Source organism: Homo sapiens, chromosome 14 (genome assembly GCF_000001405.40).
Source record: "Homo sapiens chromosome 14, GRCh38.p14 Primary Assembly".
Classification (NCBI taxonomy): domain Eukaryota; kingdom Metazoa; phylum Chordata; class Mammalia; order Primates; family Hominidae; genus Homo; species Homo sapiens.
The window spans coordinates 104,282,073-104,299,414 of NC_000014.9; the positions used below are offsets into that span (position 1 = coordinate 104,282,073).

General features: G+C 58.2%; 1 long non-coding RNA gene across 1 annotated transcript in view, besides 5 other annotated features; it reads left to right on the plus strand.

Moving 5' to 3' along the window:
- The window catches only part of LINC02691 (long intergenic non-protein coding RNA 2691), a 64,486-nt gene extending 58,489 nt beyond the window's left edge, over positions 1-5,997 (plus strand). The window contains exons 2-3 of the long non-coding RNA NR_146612.1: positions 5,414-5,481; positions 5,762-5,997. This is a non-coding gene — a long non-coding RNA (long intergenic non-protein coding RNA 2691). The remainder of the gene's footprint in view (positions 1-5,413; positions 5,482-5,761) is intronic.
- Positions 8,924-9,906: an enhancer, noted in NCBI's record as "H3K27ac-H3K4me1 hESC enhancer chr14:104757333-104758315 (GRCh37/hg19 assembly coordinates)". NCBI's record gives its function as "activates a minimal SCP1, AML or CMV promoter by ChIP-STARR-seq in primed H9 embryonic stem cells {active_cell/tissue: H9 hESC(primed)}" and the evidence as "EXISTENCE:reporter gene assay evidence [ECO:0000049][PMID:30033119]".
- Positions 11,096-11,764: an enhancer, noted in NCBI's record as "H3K4me1 hESC enhancer chr14:104759505-104760173 (GRCh37/hg19 assembly coordinates)". NCBI's record gives its function as "activates a minimal SCP1, AML or CMV promoter by ChIP-STARR-seq in naive H9 embryonic stem cells {active_cell/tissue: H9 hESC(naive)}" and the evidence as "EXISTENCE:reporter gene assay evidence [ECO:0000049][PMID:30033119]".
- Positions 11,765-12,432: an enhancer, noted in NCBI's record as "H3K4me1 hESC enhancer chr14:104760174-104760841 (GRCh37/hg19 assembly coordinates)". NCBI's record gives its function as "activates a minimal SCP1, AML or CMV promoter by ChIP-STARR-seq in naive H9 embryonic stem cells {active_cell/tissue: H9 hESC(naive)}" and the evidence as "EXISTENCE:reporter gene assay evidence [ECO:0000049][PMID:30033119]".
- Positions 12,747-13,438: an enhancer, noted in NCBI's record as "H3K27ac-H3K4me1 hESC enhancer chr14:104761156-104761847 (GRCh37/hg19 assembly coordinates)". NCBI's record gives its function as "activates a minimal SCP1, AML or CMV promoter by ChIP-STARR-seq in naive H9 embryonic stem cells {active_cell/tissue: H9 hESC(naive)}" and the evidence as "EXISTENCE:reporter gene assay evidence [ECO:0000049][PMID:30033119]".
- Positions 14,822-15,511: an enhancer, noted in NCBI's record as "H3K4me1 hESC enhancer chr14:104763231-104763920 (GRCh37/hg19 assembly coordinates)". NCBI's record gives its function as "activates a minimal SCP1, AML or CMV promoter by ChIP-STARR-seq in primed H9 embryonic stem cells {active_cell/tissue: H9 hESC(primed)}" and the evidence as "EXISTENCE:reporter gene assay evidence [ECO:0000049][PMID:30033119]".

Genomic DNA, 17,342 nt, shown 5'->3' on the forward strand with positions numbered 1-17,342 from the left:
ATCCTCTCTTGTCCCTGTCATCCATGGAGCCAGGCCTGGGTGGGGCACTTGCCTCCAAGAGACGCCCTGGAGCCTGCTCTGCAACGTGCCCATTCTGTGTCTGGGGAATGAGAAACACTGAGACCAGCTGCCTGCCTGCACGCAGCGAGGCCACTGAACGCCAAGGCCAGGCCTCCTGGGGGGCACCTGGGGTTCCTCTCTCACCTCTTCCCCAAGATGGACCATTGCCAAGGAGCTCAGGTGCTGGGGACACTTCCTGGGGGCGATGCAATGAGGAGAGGGCCGTGTGGCTGGGCCTAGGGGACCTCCAGCTAGCCTGTCCCCGTCTTTCTCTTCTGCCCTCGGGTGGGCCAGATCTATGCCCTGAGACTCACTTTGCCCCAAAGCACCTGAAACCCCATATGCCTAAGACTCTCTGCTGGGGGAGGCCCCTTTTCTTCCCATCCCAGGGAGAAACCAGGAGCCCTGGCTGGTGCGGGTCATGTGTCCACTCTGGGATAGCCCACTCCGGCCACAGGGCAGGATGCCAAGGCCTGAGCCCCAGGACCGTGGGGCAGGAGTGGAGGCAGAGGCAGGCAGTCAGGGTGGCGTGTTGGGGTGGCTGTGTGGGGCCGTGAGCACACACACCACACGGGCTCTCCACATCACCCGAGGCATGGTGGGCATGCCTCCCTGTGCCAGCCCTGCTCCTCTATAATTCCAGGGCACACGGAGTGGCATGCCAGCATGTCCTCTGACCCTTCCTGTGTGTTCAGAACTGGCTTCACTCACTTTGGGCTTCCTGGTTCCTAGGAGAAGGTGCAGGAGGTAACTTTGGCCTCTCCACCCTCCCCAGCGCCCCTTGGCATTTGAACGTGTACGACAGAGAGAGAAAGAGAGAGAGAGAGGAGCCAGCTGGCACGGGGTCACGTCTCTCTGTCAGAGCGCAGTGAGCACTGCTGGTCTTATAAAACCTGCGATGGTAATTGAATCCGGGCAGGAGTCCTTGATGGGGGCTGTTAAACACAGGAGCAGGGCTGGGCTTGGGTTTATGGGCTCCCGGTTCCCAGCTCCTCTCCAGAAAGGCCAGGGCTGAGCTTCTGCCGGGGTCTGGACGCGATGGAGCAGGGGGATGGACGCGATGACCCCCTCCCCGAGAGCAGCCAGGGGACTGGCCTAGGAGCCACAGTCTGTGCATTTCCACCCAGGGGCTCAGGAAGGCCCCGGGAACTGGCTCCCTCCGTGGGCGGGTGGTCACCCTTCCATCTATGCTCCCGTGGCCTGGGTTCCGCCCTGCAGTGGATGGGGGTCGGTGCTGTGCCTGCTGCTAGGCTCCTAGAGGAGGAGACGGTGGGACACTGACCTTGTGGAACGCCAGGAAGGGAGGGAGCCCAGGATGGGCAGCTGAGGCCCCTGGGGTGGTCAGGCCAGTGCTGAGGCTGGGGGCAGAGAAACTGCTGCCCGGGAGGGCGGAGGGGGCGTGTGCAGAGCAGGCGGGAGTGTTCCCTGCTAGTCCAGAGAGGTTGACCGTTGTCCCCAGGGTGGCCTGGCACACCTGTGGCTGTGCCCAGGTAGGAAGGCTACTGTGCCTTCTGGGAAGGCTGCTCCTGAAAAGGACACGTCACCAGGCATCTGCCCTTCGAGGGGCCTGTGCCTTGGAACTGTGGAGCTGTGACCTCCCTGCAGAGCTGGTGGGGGTGGAAGCAGCACTGGCACACCTGGCTGGGTGAGGGGAGCCGGGGTGGTGAATTATTTAGAGTCGCCAAAGGTGTTGAGTTAGAAGCTAATTAAACAAGCTCTCCGCAGAGCAGCACTGTAAAAGAATCATAAAATTCCAATCTCATTTGTTCTGCTCGGCTTGCACAGGCGTAGCATCCCCATAAAAGGCAGCCAGCGCTGCACAGTCTGTGGGCAGCTTGCAAGTGTGCGGCCTTCAGGGGTGCTCTGCAGGGCAGTCCTGCCTGGCTGGGGCTGGGCCAGGCTGGAGAAAGCACTGGGCATGTGCTGGCAGCTGGGAGGCTGCGGCCCCCCAGGTAGCCCCCTGGTAGGGGCGGTTCTCACTCAGGGTGAAAGGGGGACCTATTGTGGAAAGGTGAGGTGGTTTCGCTAGCCAGCAGGTGGCCCAGGGCCCCTCTGTGGTGCTGCTGTCCTCCTGCCTTGGGTCTTGGAATGAGGCCTTCTGGTGCCCAAGCTGCAGTGGGCAAAGCTGCTGCACCCTTGAGTTGTCGTGGGTGGGGGCGAGAGGCTGGGCTTGCAGAGGAAGGGGAGGGGCTTCTCCGTACTGGGCTGAGAGAGGACTCTGGGGTGGCGGTGTGGGCCGGGGCCCTGCTGGCCTCTGCGGTGCACCTGCTGTGTGCAGCTCTGCGCCAGGAGCCCAGACTGCAATGTGTGCAACTCCCACACATCTGCCATAGCTTGTCCAGCAGAGCTCAGCAGGGGGTCTGCCTCTCTGACACCTGAGGGAGGGGTGCAGGCAGGAGGGGAGGGGGCTGGTGCTTCTAAAGCCCGCCCACTCAGGCATGGGGAGGTGCCCTAGGGCTCAGGGTGAGGTGGGGGCTCAGAGCTCAGGCCTGTGTGAGGGGCTGCCTAAGCGCCAGGCTTTGCTGCGAGAGGTTCAGGTGGGTGTGTTTAGGCAAATCCCTTTAGCATCAGGGAACTTGGGCTGCGTCCTCTGCAGCAGACGCCGTATTGCCTCCTGGACCTCCCTCTACTGTGCCTCCGTTTCCTCGTTTCCACCATTGTCACGGAGGCAGCATGACTGGTGACTGCGAGGGTGCAAGGTGCTCACTGCGTGCTGGGCTCCCTCTCGGCTGGCAGAGGCTCCACATGCCCGGCAGGTTGCAGTTTGCAGACAGAGCTCACATGGTTTCCGGGACCTGTGTGTCCCCGCAGCGCTCCAGGGCGTCCACTCAGTTGAAGGATGGGATGGGACAGCTGGAGGTAAAATGGGCACCAGGGTCATTCATGCTACAGCCGGGTCTGTCCTTCTGGGTCTCTGACCTTCCAGAAGGACAGCTCTGCCCTGTGGGCCCCTCGGCACTCGCATGAAGCCTCTGGGGCCTGGACCACTCCCGTCCTATTGAGGGAGGATGCAGGGTGGAAAGTGCTCCTCCAGCAAGGATGAAGGAAAAGCCGGTGGCCGTGATTTGCCATTGTCACTGTCACCTGGATGTCCTGAGAACCCCCTGGGGACCAGCCTTGGAAGGCCCAGCCTTAGCCGGAGAGGCAGTGTCTGGCCGTCCTGGTAGATGGCCCAGCTCCTACCCTCATCGGCAGTTGGGTTTCATGAGCCTGCCATGCACCGTGCGTACAGGGCAGGTCTGGTCACATCTGGAGTTTGGAGAGCCCAGCTGTGCCCCTCCTGGGTAGGACTGGGGGTCGCCTAGGCCTCTCTAGAGCTCTGGAGGCTGAGGCAGGGCCGTGAGCAGTGGCCAGGGTCCTAGTGCTTATCTGGGATCCACAGTCCAGCTTTGAGCCCCACACACAGAGCCCAGGAGCCCAGGCTTCATCTGCAATGACAGGCAACAGGCGGACAATGTGGGCACCCGGAGCGTGGGTGTGCCTGCTGTGATTTGTTATCATCTCAGCACAAAACAGGCTGATTTCTCCAGCCTGGGTGGCCTGCCGTGTGGTATGGGGCTAGGGGACGCCATCATGCGGCATGTCAGGCCTCTTTGTCTCCTGGTTGGAAGATGTTGATGGATTCTCTATTGCTTGTTTGATCAAATTGTCCAGAACACAAAGGGGGAGATTGCGGCAAAAGCCACATTTGGAAAAACAATTCCTCATCCTGACAGCAGTCCCTGGAGAGAGGGCTGGTCCCGCTGGGTCCCCAGCACAAAGACCACTTGGAAATCTGGCTGGCAGGCGAAACCTGTATTTAGGGCCAGAGTGGGCTCCATGGCCAGGAGCAGGACAAGGAGAGGCAGCCCACCAAGGAAGATGCCCTGAGACCCTACCCTGAGATTCAGGATTTGTTGCAAGTGTGGCCTGTCATATGGGAGTTACCTGCAAGTTCATGGGCAGAGGAATGCAGAATAAAGTGGTGTGATCTGCCATTCAGGCTCCTGTAGCAAAACACCCCGAGCAGGGGGCTTATACATTGAGATTGACGTCTCCCAGGTTTGGAGGCTGGAGGGGCAAGGCCCTGGCAGACGCCTTGTCCGTGAGGGCAGGCTGCTTTTGTTTTCCAGTTCACGGATGGCCGTCTTCTGGCTGTGTCCTCACATGGAGGACGGGGTGACGGAGCTCTCCAGGGTGTCTTTGTTAGGTCCTTAATCCCATTCCTGAGGGCTCCACCTCCATGACCTAATCAACTCCCAAAGGCCCTGCCTCCCAGTAGCATCACGTTGGACATGAGAACTTCAACATGGAATTTGGGGGTGACTCAAACGTGGAGACCATAGCAACGTCTGCCCTGCAAATACTACACAGCAGATAAAAAGATGAGCTAGGTCCTCAGGGAAAGACAGGCGATGGCCATAGCATCTGGGGCATTCTGGCCGCGGTAAGCATGGATTCAACATGCTGCTCCTTGACTCAATAGACATTGGGTCTTGTTGGTGGCACAGTTCCAGGTGGGTCTTCCTGGTTGAGGGCCCAGGGCCTTCCAGGGCTCTGCCACCCTGTTGGGTCTCACTCCTACCCGAGGAGGGTGGAGAATCCTGACGGGTGGTGGAAATGGCCACATGGAGCTGTGAGGGGTGGGGAGTGTGGCTGGGTCATGTGGACACACGCAAAGGCAGCCTGGGTGCTGCAGGCAGTCGGCCCTGTCCTCAACAGTGTGCATAACTGAGTCACTGGGGAAGAAAAGAGAAACCCCAGAGTGACATGTGCCATTCAATGCCATCTAAGGAAACACACAAAGCACAGCTGCGTTCCCCCAAACACAAATGCATGAGGTGCACAGGGAATGTTCTGGAATGACACACACCAGTGGGAGAAGGGCTGTCACCCTGGGGAGGCCACTTGGACTGAGGAAGGGGAACAGGGGATTTCGGTGTCTATAAAGTTTGAATTTTTATTATACAAATTTATTCACAAATCATTTGCATAATTAAAAAACCAAACTTGAATACATTTTAAGAGGGTTGGTGATAAGAGGAATGAATTCACAAGTGTGGTCTTACGGGGGGCATTGGTCCAGCAGCCTGGCCATCTCCAGCTCTCCCCTTCAAGCCACCTCCCAGGCCCCCAGGGTGTCAGGGGCCCCAGGCCAGGCAGGTGACCGGAGCTTTCCAGTTCTGCCAGACTGAAGGGGTGGGCAAGGGGGAGCAGGTGCCTCTCCCATCCCATGGTCCCAGCTCTCAGGCACCATCCTCCACGGACAGCCCCTGCGACACCTCTCTGGGTGTAGTCCCGCACTGTGGACTGATGCTGGGGCCTGGCCAGGTGCGGAACATGGGTGATGGAGCCATATTCTCCTCTCTCCCAGGATTCAAGTCTGCAAAATAGAGGGGAGACCCCTAGGAGCTTGGGGACTGCGGAGGCCCCTAGGCCCAGGTGAGTCATGCCAGGCTGCGCTCCAGAGGGCAGACAGGAGGTGATGTGGGCCTCAGGGCTCTGATGGTAGCAGCTGCTGGAGAAAGAGTGGCATCAAAGTGGAACTGGGAGAGGGCTGGGGCCAGCTGCGATGCAGGGATGGGTGAGGTGCTGGCTGGCTGGGAACCCCAGCCTGTGGGGGCTTTGGCGGTGAAGGTGTCTTCCGGTGGAAATGTCTTGGGGGAGGTGGCCTGGGGCAGCTCAGAGGCTGGCTGTGTCTTCCTGGCCCTGTCATCCTTAGCATGGGGCGTCCAGAGTTGTTGCCTTGTGGACCAAGACAGCCCACAGCCCATGGCAGCTTCCAGAGCCAGAAGAAGAGGAGTCATCTCTGAAGAGCCCTGGACTACCTCCTTGCGGATCTCATTGGCCAGAACTTTCTGGCTCTCATGCTCACCACAAGGCCAATCACTAGCAAGATAAAAAAGGAGCACCCCGAAGGGCCGAGACCAGCTGTGCCTCCGGGCAGGGGAGGGGCTGCCCCTTCCTTACCTGAACTCAATTCATTTTATTTTTATTTTTTAACATAAAAGGCAATGGGAATTCAGTGAGTGGACAGCTAGCCACCTCTGTGGCTGCCTGCCGTGTGAGCACGGGCCATGTTCTATCTTTGATCTCCTCTGTGAAGCGGGAATAACAGCAGGGGCTAGGTTCTGACCCCTCAGACCTCACCCCTGAGCTTTCCAAGCCTGCATCCATTTGCTCTTCATCCCTACTCTCAAGACTTTCAGCATCCCATCTGCAGATGAGGACTCAGAGGCCCCAGGTTCCGTAGCTGAGCTGAGGGGCCAGAGGTCCAGCCCAGAGGCTGTTGGCTCCGTGGAACCCCGGGAGCTCCCGGCTCCCAGTAGTGCATGAATGTGCATGCGTGCATGTGTGTGAATGTGTGCATGCACGTGCATGTGTGTGTGCATGCATGTGTGCATGTGTGTATGTGCATGTGTGTGCACGTATCACGGACAAATACACATTAAAGTATGAGTGGCACGGCCGTCCCCCCTCCGTCATTCACTCACAGCCACATATGCATATGTGTGTGAATGTGTGCATCGTGCATGTGTGCATGTCTGAGTGTGTGCATGTCTGTGAATGTGTGTGTGCACGCATATGAGTGCATGTGTGCATATCTGTGTGTGTGCATGTCTGTGAATGTGTGCGCATGCATATATGAGTGCATGTGTGCATATCTGTGTGTGAGTGTGTAACTGTGTGCATGTCTGTGAATGTGTGTACGCATGCATATATGAGTGCGTGTGTGCATATCTGTGTGTGTGTGCATGTCTGTGAATGTGTACATGCATGTGAGTGCATGTGTGCATATCTGTGTGTGTGCATGCATATATGAGTGCATGTGTGCATATCTGTGTGTGTGTGCATGTCTGTGAATGTGTGCGCATGCATATATGAGTGCATGTGTGCATATCTGTGTGTGTGGGCACGCCTGTGAATGTGCGTGTGCATGCATATATGAGTGCGTGTGTGCATATCTGTGCGTGAGTGTGTGCATGTCTGTGAATGTGTACATGCATGTGAGTGCATGTGTGCATATGTGTGTGTGTGGGCACGCCTGTGAATGTGCGTGTGCATGCATATATGAGTGTGTGTGCGCATATCTGTGTGTGCGTGAGTATGTGCATGTCTGTGAATGTATACATGCATATGAGTGCATGTGTGCATATCTGTGTCTGTGTGCATGTCTGTGAATGTGTACATGCATGTGAGTGCATGTGTGCATATCTGTGTGTGTGTGCGCGCATGCCTGTGAATGTGCGTGTGCATGCATATATGAGAGTGTGTGCATATCTGTGTGTGCGTGAGTGTGTGCATGTCTGTGAATGTGTACATGCATGTGAGTGCATGTGTGCATATCTGTGAGTGTGTGTGGGCATGCCTGTGAATGTGCGTGTGCATGCATATATGAGTGCATGTGTGCATATCTGTGTGCTTGAGTATGTGCATGTCTGTGAATGTATACATGCATGTGAGTGCATGTGTGCATATCTGTGTGAGTGTGTGTGGGCATGCCTGTGAATGTGCGTGTGCATGCATATATGAGTGTGTGTGTGCATATGCATGCACATGTATGATGAGCCCAGCTACCAAGGCACCTGCTAAGCACAGCACCCGCACCCTGGAAACCCTCCCACATGCCATCAGTGAGGGTCATGAGTCAGCAGATATGATGTGCCTGACGTCAGTGCTCCTAAGAGAAGCCTAAACAATTTTCATAGGAAATGCACCTAGGGACTGCATTGTATAAATGCAACACTAATGACAGAAAATTTCAAAAATACTGTGCACAAAGAAAAATAGTCTCCCCTGTTATCACATCCCCCATGTCACCCACCGTAAACATGTTGATGTCAAAGGCTTTCGGGTTTTGTCTGTGCACGTGTTCATGTTATTAGGTCATTTTTTTTTCTCACAGGTTGAGACTGTGCTGCACTGCTGCTTTGTAAACCTGGAAGATTTTTATCGTGAATAAATACCTGCCGCAACAATGCCTAATGCTTTTGTGGGGTTCTGTTATTTGGATGTGCCACTGGCGGTGACGGCTGGCCCCTGGGTGGCCATGTAAGGTGCTTCCAAATCTCTGCGATGGAGACGTCACCTCAGCTGCCTCTCCAGCCACGAGTCCTGGCACCTCCCCTGCCTCCTGCTTCCTGCTGCTGCTTCTCAGCCCCCAGGCACATTCCTGCTGCAGGGCCTTTGCACATCCCGGGATTCTGGGGCTGTGCCCTCCCCAGGTCTTCTCACAGTCTGTCTGTCACTCCCCTGGGGCCTCTGCTCCATTGTTTCTGGTCTGATGATACCTTCCAAGTCAGTCCTCTGGAGTGGCACATTCGGGCCACATGACATGCCGGCCTACACTGTCCCCAGGGACGGTGGCCACTTGCCCTCTCGCTGCCTCTCCTCCCATGCCCACCTCCCAACCCTGGCCAGTGTTTGAAATCTCCAGTTCTGGATTTTTTTTCACCCCCCATGGCCAGCTTGGTGAGAAATGACTTCTCATTGTTGGAGTGTGTCTGGCTACACGCGATTGTGTGTTTCTGTGCCTCTTGTCATTTGCCCTTGTTTTATGAATTGCCACTTTGACCTTTTTGCTCATTTGTCTATCCAGTGCCTATCTCTTCCCAATGATTCCTGTGTTCTCAGTGTAGGTGGCTGGGGATGAGAACGGGAGCTTGTCCTCCCCCATGCTGAGTCCAGCATTCAGGATGGAGTGACATCTGGATGGCCATCAGCATGCACCGGGGCTGGGGCTTCTCGAGGTCAGCAGGGTTTGAGGGTTGTCAGGGCTGTGTGCCACCAGGGCTTGGCAGGTCCCCAGGTGTGGCGTTTGCCATGCTGGTGTCCCCTGCGCCACGGCACCTGTTCCCTGTGACCTTCCCCTGTTCCTGCTTCTCAGGTGAAACGTGGCCTGGAAGCTTCTGGTTATGTGGAAGACAACAGCTATAGAGGCCTCCCCGTGACCTCAGGGACCAAGGGCTGTGGAGAAGGGCTCACCGGGTGCAGACAGGGGCAGGTGGCCTGGGGGTCCCGAGCCATGACATCGGTCCTCTGTTTAGCCGGAAGGGTGCCTGTCATTGGCACCAGCAGGCACAGGAAGGAGGGACCTTGTGTGATGGCAGGTGGAGGGGTCTGCATGTGTCTCTCCCTGCCATGGCAACCTGTCTGCCCCCGTCCACCCTGCCTTCAAGTGCCAGAGGGTCAGGGGACAGCAAGGGCCACGGTGGCAGCAAGGACCCTGCAGATGTTGCCCTGCAGTGCCCTGGAGATCTGTAGACCTGGGGCCCCACCTGCAGAAGCCAGGCCTGTGTGTCAGGTTTCGGGGGCTCTGTGGCCGGCTCCAGTGCCATTACTGAGGCTGATAACTGTGCCCCCCTTCAGGGGTCCCTGGGGCGGCCGCTTACTCCTGGCTGTGCAAACACCCCTTCTTTCCCGAAGGCCGCCAGCCTCCTCTGTCTTGCTAATAGCCTGTTCTTTTAATGATCGATAATCAGTGTTTACCCAGAGCCTTCACCAGCAGCTCCTGACGCTTGGCTTCATTATGCATGCAGGCTTTGCGGAAGCTGCTTCCAGCTGCCTGTGTGGCCTGCTGCAGGGGACGTCCGGCTGGAGGTCCCACCTTCCTCCCGCCTTGGCCCAGCACCCTCCAGGCCTCGCTCCTGGCCCCTGGGGCGGCTTCAGGACGCTAGGGTGGTGACAGCATCTCGAGACCCCGCCTGGGCAGACCTCCTCCTGTCAGCTCCTCCTCTGTCTAAAGAGCCCTGCTTGCTGGGAGGGGCAGCACCTGCCTCGCTGGACAATGTCCAGGACACAGGAAGCACCCGATCAATTACAGCCAATAAAATGTTCAGTAATGGCCACTAGCATGTCTGCAAGCCGGCTGTGGTCTGGGTACTGTACTGGACACCTCATGCGTGTGTCAGGGACAAATATGTATTAAAGTGTGAGTGGCACAACCATCCCTCCCCACCTCTGCCTCCACCACCTCATTCCCCCTCCACCTCCGCCCCTCCCTGCTCCCCCCCCGCCCCCCCACCTCCCGCCATCAGTGGGGGCTCTTGCTGCTGTTCGGCTCTATGGCCTTTGATAGAACCCGGCGGGTGGTGGGTTTTGGAGCAGAAGATGCCCAAGAAGGAAGAGAAGGAAAGGCACACGGTGTGGGTGGGGGAGGGAGGGGGCTGCAGTGGCAGCGGGAGAGGTGGGGCAGCTGAGAGAGGAAGGTGGAGGGGCGGGCACTTTTGGAGGCAGAGGTCACCAAGGGCCTTCAGCTCCTGCCTGGGGCCAGGCCCTGCAGGGCCTCCCAGCGCAGCCCTCACCAAGAGTCACTGGAAATCAAGACAGGCCCCCCCCCCACCTTACTTCTGCCAATTTAGAGTTAGATCTGTACTTGTTTCTGGAAGCTTCTTATGTGAGGGACTGGCTGGAAGGTACATGTCTGGATCTCACCCTCGCCCAGTGACCGTTCCACCTTGGCCAGAAGGTGCTGATGTCATGGGCCGAGGGCCTGAGCGAGGGCCTGGGAGTGCCCACCCCACCCTCTGCAGCCTCCTCTTTCCCACAGCCTCTCTGTCCTCCAGTATCCAGAGGCCCTGAGCTGGTCACCCCATTGTCACTTTGTGTTACTAAAGCCCCGGGCCAGCCATGCCACCAGCGTTTTGGCTCCCGCGTGTTGGGGCGGGGCCCGGCAGAGCTCTCGGGGCGGCTGTTTGGAGTGGGCGCAGGGCACACAGGCACGATGTCTCTGGTCATCTGTTCCAGGTGTCCACAACGTTGATCAGCTTTGAGAGATCACGTTTCTGCGTTTCTCAGACCTGCCTTGGAAGGGGTCTTGCTGGGGCCGGGAGAGGGGCTCTGCTGGGGAGGGGGGCTCTGCTGGGGAGGGGGGCAGGGGTGTGGGAACGGGGGTGTCGACAGCTGGGCACGGAGCAGAGTCCCTCAGACGTGCTCCCCGCTTCTCCCCGTGACTCGCCACCTCTTTCTGAAAGTGGGTTTTGTTCTCCCCAGCATCTGTGGTTTCTGATGGATTCGAAAATATTTAATAAATATTTGGCTTCCATTTTCAAAATGTTCTGTGCTCTTTTTAGGTTTCCTTATGGAAAGAGACTGAGATATTCTTATTTCAACTCCCAGGAGCCCATGGGTGCCTTTTACTTCCTCCCACTCTTACCCCAGACTGCCTGGTTTGTCCTGGTTTGGAGGTGAAGGCTCTGGCCCGGAGCTGCAGAATCGGTTCCCCAGGGCTTGCAGGAGTAGGCCAGGGGCCTGGAGGGCCAGGGGGCTGCAGGGGCCAGGGGACTGCAGGGACCGGGGGCTGGAGGGACCCGGGGGCTGGAGGGGCCGGGGGGCTGCAGGGGCCATCTGCTGCCGGCCTTTTCCCTTGAAAACAAGCCAGTGCTTCATTTCCCTTCTTTTAGCAGCAGGTGAGCTGGCCGGGGGCCTCAGAGCGCTGGCCCAGGTGTGAGGGTCACGCTTCTGCGGGGACGCCAGCCAAGGCTCACCCATCCCCAGAGATGTCCTGTGAGGCCCCAGCGTGACTCAGAGCCCAAACGAGATTGTCTTGGGAGGTGCAGAGTTGGGAGATGCAGGCTGAGATGAACCCCGGGGGAGGGGCAAGGCCAGGCAGAGGTGAGTGCAGAGAGCAACGGAGGGAGGGGGCTGCCAGGAAGGGGCCCTGGGCAGGATGGAGGCTGTCCACAGCAGCAGCCTGGTTGGTAGCTGGGCCCTACCCTCAGGCCTCCTCCTCCAAGGCAGGACGGAGCAGTGGTTAGGATCACCCCATCCTCCCAAAGCAAAGGCATCCTCTGTTCTGGGAGCTGAGAGCACCAGGGAGCTTCCTCCTGCTGCCTGGCCCGGGTGAGTGTCTGGGAGGGGCTGGGGCAGCCTGGTTGGTCACCAGAGTGTGGTCATTGTCATCTGCATCCCGGGGTGAGAAAGGACAAGAGGGCTGCCCTCTGCCTCCCTCCCGTGCTCCCTGTCCTGAGGCTGGCGGCTGTGAGAGAGAAGATTGTCGCTCAGCAAACACTATTTCCTCATCCACTGTCCCCATTGATGGCAGGCTTGGCCACCGGGCTCGATTTAGCCGGAAGTGGCCATGTGCCAGCTCCCAGCTGAGGGCTCTGGTGACCCTCCTGTGAAGAGCCTGCCTTGGAGGCTGCAGTCCCAAGGAGGAGGCTAGACTCAGCCCTCGTCCTCCAATGCAGCTGCAATGAGCCTGCTCCTCCTGCTGGTGGAAAATGCAGGTAGGCACGTAAGCCACCAACCCTGGGGGCTCAGTCAAAATCCTGAGGACCCCCAAGGGGCAGAGCCGATGGGGCCTTCTGACCAGGGTGCCCAGAATGGATGGCACTGGGGGACACAGGCTAATTGCGGGGGAACAGGTGAAGGTGGGTGAAGCAGCTGCGTGTTTGGGGCAGAGGGAGAGGTATTGTGAGGGTTAATTTTATGTGTCCACGCGACTGCAGACATTTGGTGGACTCCGATTTGGGGTGTGTCCGTGCAGGTGTTTCTGGATGAGATTCAGGCTGGAATCCGTAGACTGAGCACAGCAGATGTCCCTCCCCCATGCGGGTGGGCCTCGCTCAATCAGATGAAGGCATGACGAGGAAACTGGTTGCCTTGCAGCCGGGAGGGCGGCTGCTTTCCTGCTTTCAGATTTGAGCTGGAACATCAGCTCCACCCAGGTGTCGAGTCTGCTGGTGTCCGGCCTGATTTGCCACCATCAGCTCTCCCAGGGCTCCAGCTTACTGACTCGGTGCAGGTCTGCGGACTCAGCCTCCATCATTGTATGAGCTAATTCACTGCAATAAATCTCTCTTTCCACGGCCTGTTGATTCTGAGTCTCTGGAGAGGAGAGTACAGCAGCAGTGGGTGACAGACACCAGGGACCTCATTGGCACTAAGGATTGTCCCCGACCGGAATGCGGAGTCCGGGCTGAAGGAGGTGACTCCCCACCTCCCTGCCCTGCCCTGTGGTGGGGATGGGTGGGGGGAAAATGCCCAGTTCCTGAGCTGGACTCTGAGTGACAGTGGCCCTGGTTAGTGGGGGCCCTCTGCTGGGCGGTGGCCGGAGGGAGACAGGGTGCCAGGCCGGGAGAAATGTTTAGAGGGCATCAGTGCCAACTTCCTGGGCACGGTGCAGGTGTGGAGAGAGCTGCCCCCAGCCTGAGAGGATGCTGGGTTGGGCTTATCTCCACTCGGAATCGAGAGAACTCACCGTCCCCAGAGCCGGACTGGCTGCCATGGGAGGCCACCCCACGAGAAGAGAGGAGGAGCCGAGGCCTGTTGCTGAGGGTTGCGGAAGGCAAGGAGGAGGACACAGAGGGGCCCTTCCCAGGCCTCTGTTATCACGGCTCATTTCTGGAGTCCCAGAGCCGGGCAGAGCCAGGCTCAGCACAGCAAGGATGACGGCCCAAGTGGAAGCACTGGCAGGGAGAGCTGGGACAGACGCAGCCCCAGACAGGCTGGACCCCAGGGACGGTAAAGGGTGCACACCGCTTGCCCCACTCGTACTCTGCGCCCAGCAGCTCCCTGGATGGTGGCCGGGCAGGAGGCTGTCCTGACTGATCCCGCAAATGTATTTACAGCTATTGACGGCCTGAACGTGGCCTATTGATCCACGCCTGAGCCTGGCCGGGCGGCGCGTGCACTTGGCCAGGGCAGCCCTGCGTGACGAATGGGCAGCTCACAGCCCACCCTCTCCGACAGGTGATTGTTTCAGTGAAAATGAGAAATGATGATCAGGGCTTAAGGCTGATGATTGAGGAAGATTTCCAGCGACTTTGCAGGTCGTCTCGGTGGTGCTAATAGCCAGGGCCTCCTACAGAGAGGCATGTTCCCCGACTAGGCAGGTCACCATGAATGTCTGCAAAGACGCTGTCCTGGCGTGGGGACCCGGGCAGGGGCACAGGAGGCACAGACGTTCCTGCCCCTTTCCCTGGCTGGGTTGCGCTGCTGAGGTGGGCCAGGTGGGGTTCACTCTTTCTGGCTTCTAAGGGGGTTCCAGACCCCAGATGGGCCTGGGGAAATGAGGGCTTTGTGTGGACAGCCCCATGGGAGAGGGGCTGTTCCCAGCCCTGGTGCCCGCCTGCCTAGTCCTCCCTGGGACTCTGGGCCCAGCCTTATCATTCCTCTCTTCTCTTCTAAGATGAAAAGAGGATTCCTGCAAGTGGAGACGAATCCTCGGGCCCCTGAGCTGCAGGTGGTGAACAAGGAGCTGAGGGCCTGCTGGTTCCCCAGGAGGGCAGGCAGGGCTGTGCTAACGAGGAGAAAGAACCGAGTGAAGGAAGGCACGGAGGTGCCAGGGAGAGACCAGGAACCTCCTCAGCTTCCTGGCTTCCTTCCTGGCCCAGGCCCCCTATTCCCGGGGCCCTAGGCTGGGCTGAGGTCCCCTCGCCCTGTGCAGGGCCTGGGGCTCAAGTTCTACCAGCTGTAGCCTGGGGCCTGAAGGTCCATCTGATATTTGAAGGACTCAGAAGGCCCTGGGAGGGTGTTGGCAGGAGTAGCCTCAGTGTTGATTCCTCGATGGCCCCTGAGCCAGGTTCAGGAGCACAGAGAGACGTGGGTGCCACCTCTCCCGAGCTTGGAGCTCACTCTTGGGGGTTGAGATGGGGCCAGGAAGGGGTTAAAGCAGGAAGCATCTTGCAGGGCTGTTAGGAAAATGATATTCTGCTGTTTGACGTCATTTTAATTCCATTTCAAGGGCATTTAATCTTATTTGCCCGATGACTAATCCCCGGCCTTGAGTGAATTAATGTGCGGCCCCTTCTCTGAGGGGAAGCGGGACCCTTTCAGTGGAGACATCGCGTCACCGCGTCCCGCCTCTTGCTTGGCTTGGCGGGCAGGGCTCCTGGCCAGAGGCGGGGGCAGCCACTGGGTGGGGGCTGTGGTGAGGACCTGACCCCTGGGTGAGGAAGAACGACTCGGCATCTCCTTAGCCCTGGAACTTTCCAGAAGCGTGCCTGCCTGCAGTTTCTCCTTTGTGCCTATGGGCAGAAAATGCCCATTTCCCAGGCCCAGGACAAAAGCTCCAGAACTGGATGCTTCGAGGCAGGTGCAGGGACCCAGGTGGCAGGGCGGGGAGCAGCGAGAGCCAGCTGCTGCATGTCCAGGGCTGGTCCACCCAGGCCACCCAGCAGGGGCCTCAGCCAGGGCCGCAGGGGCCGTGACAGGTGCTGGCATGCAGGAAGGAGTCACCAGACTTGTCCACCCAGTTGGAGAGGGCCAAAGAGAAACTGGAAACTGAGGCACAGCCGGGCAGGGGCTTGCTAGATGCATTTTTCAGAAGGGCTTGATCTTGTCCCTGGACTTTCTCTGTGATCCCACCTTGACTTTCAGCCTCACGGGGCTGGGACCCCCTCCCCTACCCCCACCCCTGCTTTGCCTTCAGTGGCCACAGGAGAAGAGGACCCATCTGCCGGGTGGGCAAGCTGAACTGTCACAGCCCCCACGCAGTCCCACGTCCCCTCTTGCTCAGGCCACAGACATGCACAGGAGATGCCAGGTCCTGTCTGCCTTGAAGAGTCCAAGGAAAAACTTTCTCGTTGTAATTTCGGGCCTTGGGGAGCCTCTAGGAGGAGGAGAGGGGGCCAGGGAGGCTCTGGTGGATGTGAGTGGAGTCTCGCCATGTGGACAGCCCTATGATGGGTGAATATTCCAGTCCTCACAGTGGGTGAGGCTGAGTGGTGGCTCCTGGGGACCAGAGATGGTCCTGGCTTAGCTCTTCGGCAGCAGCCTCTGACCTGCCTGTGCTCAGTGGGCTCCCTCCTGCCACCCCACAGGGCTGGGTGAAGCTTCTGCTTGGAACATCCTGCCCCCGGCCTGACCCTTGTGGGGTGATGGGTCCTTCCCTGAATCCAGGCTCCCCAGACTTTAGGGGCCCGGAGGCCTGGGATGGGGGAGCAGGCAGGGCCGCAGCCCCAGGAGGCGAGATGCCCTGGCTACCTTCCTCCACCTGCCCCTGCATCTGCTTTCACCTCTGCTGGTGCCTCTGAGCTTTGAGGAACTTCTGCTGAGTGCTTTAACCACCCACGGCCTGGACCTGGTTGAGCTTTTGGGTCTTCTGGGAGCGAGCATGTCCTGTGAGTACCCCAGGGTGTGATTTGCACGCAAGAGGTCTGTGTGGACCACGGGGGGCTGCAGGGGCTGCAACCTGGGCAGCCTGGGCTTGTGGGAACTGCAGCAGCTCCCGGGCCTTCCCAGGTGGTCTGGCAGGGACTGGAGGCATAGGAGGGGCTCAAGATGCTCGTTCCACCAGAATGAGCCTCCTAACACCTGGACAACCAGGTGGCACAGAGGTCAACCTGGTGACTGAAGGACAGTGTGGCCTGCAAGTTGGAGATGTTGGAACATCTGGGTTAATCAGAATGGCCCTACAAGCACAGCCATTGTAGCTGGCATTGGGGTTGACCCCAGCATCCACTGTGCCCCAGTGTTGCCCTGAGTCTGTCACCATGGCACCTACTTCCTTGCCATGGGCTTGGGGTGGCAAGGTGTGAACCAGCCAGGCAGGCTTGCCCACCCTCTGTGGGCTGCATGGGAGCAAGGAAGGTCATACTTCATGGTGGTTGGCAGCCACCGTCTGCTCAGAGCGGCCCCTACCTGACACAGAAGGCAGTACTGAGAGCGGTACTTCATCTGTCCATCCACCAATCCATCCATCCAATCTTACACCCACCTACCCATGCTTCCATCTACCCACCCATCTGTATACCCATTTATCTATCCATTTACCCATCTGCCCACCTACCCATCCATCCATCCATCCATCCATCCATCCATCCATCCATCCATCCAACCATCCATCTACCTTTCCATCCATCCATGCATCCATCCATCCATCCACCCACCCACCCATCCATCCATCCATCCATCCATCCATCCAACCATCCATCTACCTTTCCATCCATCCATCCATCCATCCATCCATCCATCCATCCATCCATCCATCCATCCATTCCATCCACCCATCCATCTACCTAAATATCCATCCATCCATCCATCCATCCATCCATCCAACCATCCATCTTCCATCCATCCATCCATCCATCCAACCATCCATCTACCTTTCCATCCATCCATCCATCCATCCATCCATCCATCCATCCATCCAACCATCCATCCATCCATCCATCCATCCATCCATCCATCCATCCATCCATCCAACCATCCATCTACCTTTCCATCCATCCATCCATCCATCCATCCATCCATCCAACCACCCACCCATCCATCCATCCATCCATCCATCCATCCATCCATCCATCTACCCATCTACCTTTCCATCCATCCATCCATCCATCCATCCATCCATCCATCCA